The sequence below is a fragment of the Homo sapiens genome, chromosome 20 (genome assembly GCF_000001405.40).
Source record: "Homo sapiens chromosome 20, GRCh38.p14 Primary Assembly".
In the NCBI taxonomy this organism is placed as follows: Eukaryota; Metazoa; Chordata; class Mammalia; order Primates; family Hominidae; genus Homo; species Homo sapiens.
In genome coordinates, this window is record NC_000020.11 from 16,704,553 (window position 1) to 16,710,122 (window position 5,570).

General features: G+C 44.2%; 1 annotated feature.

The window, feature by feature from the left end:
* Positions 3,491-3,660: an enhancer, noted in NCBI's record as "experimental_59901 CRE fragment used in MPRA reporter constructs". NCBI's record gives its function as "activates a minimal promoter by MPRAs in K562 erythroleukemia cells, with activity observed for both the introgressed and non-introgressed 20:16688773 variant alleles {active_cell/tissue: K562}" and the evidence as "EXISTENCE:reporter gene assay evidence [ECO:0000049][PMID:34662402]".

The window sequence follows — 5,570 nt, forward strand, 5'->3', positions numbered from 1 at the left end:
CAAACAAACAAAACAAAACAAAGAGAAATGATTATGTTTGACAATGAAGGTCTTTAAAGTTTTATTTCTGAGCAGAATAAAATGGAGAGTAATTTTTCAAGTAGACTTTCCCCCTTCATTCTTTAGAGAAATTAATGCTGCTCAGTGATGTTGCTATGGTCAAAAAATAAATAGGGAAGTCAGTGTGATATGACTTGGATTGAGATTGACTTGCTTTCTATACAGACTATGCAAGTAGTTGAGCACACAGTCAATAGACTGACCTCCTCATATAAGTGTGTGTTGTCTCTTGAGGCCTGCTTTGTGGCTAATTTCGTATGATTTGGCTATTATACTTCTTGAATTCAAAAAACAGGATTGATATTGTTTGGCTCTGTGTCCCCACTCAAATCTCATCTTGAATTCCCATGTGTTGTGGGAGGGACCCAGTGGGAGGTAATTGAATCATGGGGGCAGGTCTTTCCCATGCTGTTCTTGTGATAGTGAATAAGTCTCACAAGATCTGGTGGCTTTATAAGATGGAGTTTCCCTGCACAAGCTCATTCTCTTTTTGCCTGCTGCCATCCACCTAAGACGGGACTTGCTCTTCCTTGCCTTCTGCCATGATTGGGAGGCTTCCTCAGCCATGTGTAACTGTAAGTCCAATTAAATCTCTTTCTTTTGTAAATTGCCCAGTCTCAGGTACGTCTTTATCAGCAGCATGAAGATGGACTAATACAGTAAATTGGTACCAGTAGAGTGGGGTGTTGCTGAAAAGATACCTGAAAATGTGGGAGTGACTTTGGAACTGGGTAACAGGCTGAGGTTGGAACAGTCTGAAAGGGCTTCGAAGAAGATAGAAAAAATGTGGTAAAGTTTGGAACTTCCTAGAGACTTGTTGAATGGCTTTGCCCAAAATGCTGATAGTGATATGGACAATAAGATCCAGGCTGAGGTGGTCTCAGATGGAGATGAGGAACTTGTTGGGAACTGGAGCAAAGGTGACTCTTGTTATATTTTGGCAAGGAGACTGGCGGGATTTTGCCCCTGCCCTAGAGATTTGTGGAACTTTGAACTTGAGAGAGATGATTTAGGGTATCTGGCAGAAGAAATTTCTAAGCTGCAAAGCATTGAAGAGGTGATTTGGGTGCTTTTAAAAGCATTCAGTTTAAAAAGGGCAACAGAGCATAAAAGTTTGAAAAATTTTCAGCCTGACAATGCCATAGAAAAGAAAATTCAATTTTCTGAGGAGAAATTCACGCTGGCTATAGAAATTTGCATAAGTAACAAGGAACTGAATGTTAATCCCCAAGACAATGGGGAAAATGTCTCCAGGGCATGTCAGAGACATGCACAGCAGCCCCTCACATCACAGGCCTGGAGGCTTAGGAGGAAAAAGTGATTTCATGGACCAGGCCCAGGGTCCTTGTGCAGTGTGCAGCCTAGGGACTTGGTGCCCTGCATCCCAGCTGCTCCAGCTATGGCTGAAAGGGGCCAACATAGAGCGTGGGCCATGGCTTCAGAGGATGCAAGCCCCAAACCTTGGCAGCTTCCACATGGTGTTGAGCCTGTGGGTGCACAGAAGTCAAGAGTGGGGTTTGGGAACCTCTGCCTAGATTTCAGATGATGTCTGAAAACTCCTGGATGTCCAGGCAGAAGTTTGCTGCAGGGGTGGGGTTCTCATGGAGAACCTCTGCTAGGGCAGCATGGAAGGCAAATTTGGGGTCAGAGCTCCCCGCACAGAGTCCCTACTGGGGAACCACCTAGTGGAGCTATGAGAAGAGGGCCACTGTCCTCCAGACCCTAGAATGGTAGATCCACTGACAGCTTGCACTATGCACCTGGAAAAGCTACAGACACTCAATGCCAGCCCATGAAAGCAGCCGGGAGGGAGGCTGTACCCTTCAAAGCCACAGGGGTGGAGCTGCCCGAGACCATTGGAACCCACCTCTTGCATCAGTGTGACCTGAATGTGAGACATAGAGTCAAAAGAGATCATTTTGGAGCTTTAAGATTTGACTGCCCTGCTGGATTTCAGACTTGCATGGGGCCTGTAGCCCCTTTGTTTTGGCCAATTTCTCACATTTGGCATTCCAATGTCTGTACCTCCCTTGTATCTAGGAAGTAACTAACTTGCTTTTGATTATACAGGCTCATAGGTGGAAGGGACTTGCCTTGTCTCAGATCAGACTTTTGACTGTGGACTGTTGAGTTAAAGCTGAAATGAGTTAAGACTTTGCGGGACTGTTGGGAAGGCATGATTTGTTTTAAAATGTGAGGACATGAGATTTGGGAGGGGCAGCATGGAATAATATGGTTTGGCTCTGTGTCCCCACTCAAATCTCTTCTTGAATTCCCGTGTGTTGTGGAAGGGACTCAGTGGGAGGTAATTGAATCATGGGGGCAGGTCTTTCCCATGCTGTTCTTGTGATAGTGAATAAATCTCACAAGATATGATGGCATTATAAGGTGGAGTTTCCCTACACAAGCTCATTCTCTCTTCACCTGCTGCTATCCATGTAAGATGGGACTTGCTCCTCCTTGCCTTCCACCATGATTGTGAGGTTTCCCCAGTCATGTGGAACTGTAAGTCCGTTTAAACTCTTTCTTTTGTAAATTGCCCAGTCTCAGGTATGTCTTTATCAGCAGTGTGAAAATGGACTACTGGCTGGGTGCGGTGGCTCACGCCTGTAATCCCAGCACTTTGGGAGCCAAGGCAGGCAGATCACGAGGTCAGGAGATCGAGACCACGGTGAAATCCCATCTCTACTAAAAAATACAAAAAAATTAGCCAGGCGTGGTGGCAGGCACCTGTAGTCCCAGCTACTCAGGAGGCTGAGGCAGGAGAATGTCGTGAACCCAGGAGGCGGAGCTTGCAGTGAGTCGAGATTACACCACTGCACTCCAGCCTGGGCAACAGAGCAAGACTCCGTCTCAAAAAAACAAAAAAAAAAAAAACAAACAAAAAAAAGAAAACGGACTACTAACTAATACATGCATAAATATTATATTAAAACATTGTGATTAAAACCATTTCACTTGGACACAATCTCACTTTTGTGGCAGGCCTCCCATAAATACTTAATGACTCTCATCAAAGGAAAACACAAATCAAGTGACAAGCAGCCAGTACTCTTCAAAATGGCAAGATTATGAAGAACAAAGAAAGGCTAAGGAGCTGTTCCAGATTAAAGGGAATTAAAGAAAATTATCAAGTGTATGCAACATTTGATCTGCGATGGCAGGGTGTGCTGTCTTCTGGACATGAGTAATTTCCACTACCCATTTTGGTTACCACCCCCTGAGTATGTTCCTGCCTCTCTCCTCCAGGTGCCAGATTCAGTTCCTCTGCTTGGACTAAGTCAGTCCTGTTGAGCTCCCTCTAGCCCTGCACAGAGGTGGAAGGGGAGGAGGAGTCACCTCTTTGGCTTGTCTTGGTGGTAGTTTCCCAACCAGTGATTCAGGTGCTTACATACCCAGATCCTCCCGTACTCCCAGTTTTGCTAGTTCTGGGCTGGAAGCACCCCCGAAGACACCCTACATTTTACAGCAGTCCTCTCTTATATGGGCTTTTGCTTTCTATGCTACAATCCCACCGTAGTAGCAAGCGTACTCCTACAGTTTGGATGCTTGTCCCCTCCAAACCTCATATTAAAATTTGATCTCCAATGTTGGAAGTGTTTGGGTCATGGGGGTGGCTCCCTTATGAATAGATTATGCCTTCTGTCCCTCTGGGTGACTCCTCACTCTATCAATTTCCACAAGAGCAGGTTGTTAATCCTTTTTCTCACTTGTTTCCTCTATTGCTTTGAGTGGAACCAGCGCACATCACTCCCCTTTGCCTTCTGCCATGAGTGGGAGCAGCCTGTGGCCCTCACCAGAAGCAGGTGCTGGCACCATGCTTCTGCTAAGCTAAATAAACCTCTTTTCTTTATAAATTACCCGCCTCAGATCTTCCTTTCTAGCAACACAAAATGGACTAACAGCTACCAAAAACACCTTTTCTTCTTTTCTAATCTAATTACATATTTGTTTCCAAATAAATATCTCTCTTGCAATGTCTGAGATTTTGCAGTGAGAAGGAGAAGTTACAGAATATTCTCAGGAGTCTATCTCTTCAGAACAGACTTGCAAAGTGTTTTCTTTCAAGTTTTCTTGCCCCAAAGTACAGGAAATAGTGCTGAATCTATTCATTACTAGGAGTTATCTTTATATTCTATCAAGGTTATATTTCAGCTCCTTGAAAGCCTATTGTATTATAGAGTTGCTCTTGTTAAAAGAGAAATCTTTGAAGGATGCCAAGGGTTATCTTGGCAGGAATCCATGGTAAACAGAGCTCTGGCTCTAAGAGATCACAATATGCATCCTCCTGGATAGATGGTCCTGTAAGAGGAGGCACAATTCTGCATTTGGTAGCATAATGTGCATGTGTGTGTGGGCTTTTATTTGCAATTTTTTGTTAATTAGTGAAGAACTATTGGCCAATATTTGGAATTAAATTATGAATAAGTGTAAATGAGAACTTGTGTCCATCACATGAGGAAGATTCTCCTAGGGATGAACAGATAAAATATAATTTCTGCCTTTATTCAAAAAAAACAGCAAATTCAGCATTAAAGTTCTGCTCTGTGGTATGTAAAGTTTAGGTTTCAAAGAAGCCACAAGCCATTTCCTGTGGCTAGCAACAGAGCACTCTCTTCTCTTGAACTCACTTGTTCTATGCTCATCATTCATTCTTATGTTCATTGGATTAGCTAACTTTTGCTTTGCAATGAACTACTCCAACTATCAAAGACTTAAAAGAATGGCCATTGATTTAGCCTAAGAGTGGGCTGGGCAGTTCCCTGTCTGGACTGGGGTTGGCTGATCTCAGCTGGGCCCACTCATGCATCTGCAGTCAGTTGGTGAGTTGGCCAAGGCTAATGGCTGAAGTGGCAGGGGCAACTGCTCCAACTGGCCCACCTGTCTGTCGCTAGCCTGGACTCCATGTGGGGACTGGGCTCCAACGGCAGCCAGAAAGTATGCCCCAGATCCTAAGCACACTGAGGCCTCAGCTAGCTTCATCTCATTAATGTCCCCTTGGTCAAAGCAAGTCAGAAGGTGAAGAATATGTTCAAACAGTGAGGGAGGGAAAGAATTTGTGGCCATTTTGCAACTACCAAGCCACATTTTCGTTAATTTTTTTTTTTTAAGATGGAATCTCACTTTGTCTCTCAGGCTGGAATGCAGTGGCACCATCTTGGCCTACTGCAACCTCCGCCTCCTGGATTTAAGTGATCCTCCCACCTCAGGCTCCCAAGTAGCGGGATTACAAGTGTGCACCACCATGCCCAGCTAATTGCTGTATTTTTAGTACAGACGGGGTTTCACCATGTTGGCCAGGCTTGTCTCAAACTCCTGACCTCAAGTGATTTGCCTGCCTCAGCCTCACAAAGTGCTGGGATTATAGATGTGAGCTACCATGCCCTACCTAGTTAATTCTATCAATGTGGTTTATCTATCCACCTGGACAGATTTCTACACAGAGTTGAAAGTATTAAAGAAAATACATAATGGGAAAATAACATAAATTACATAGTAATTTCTTATTA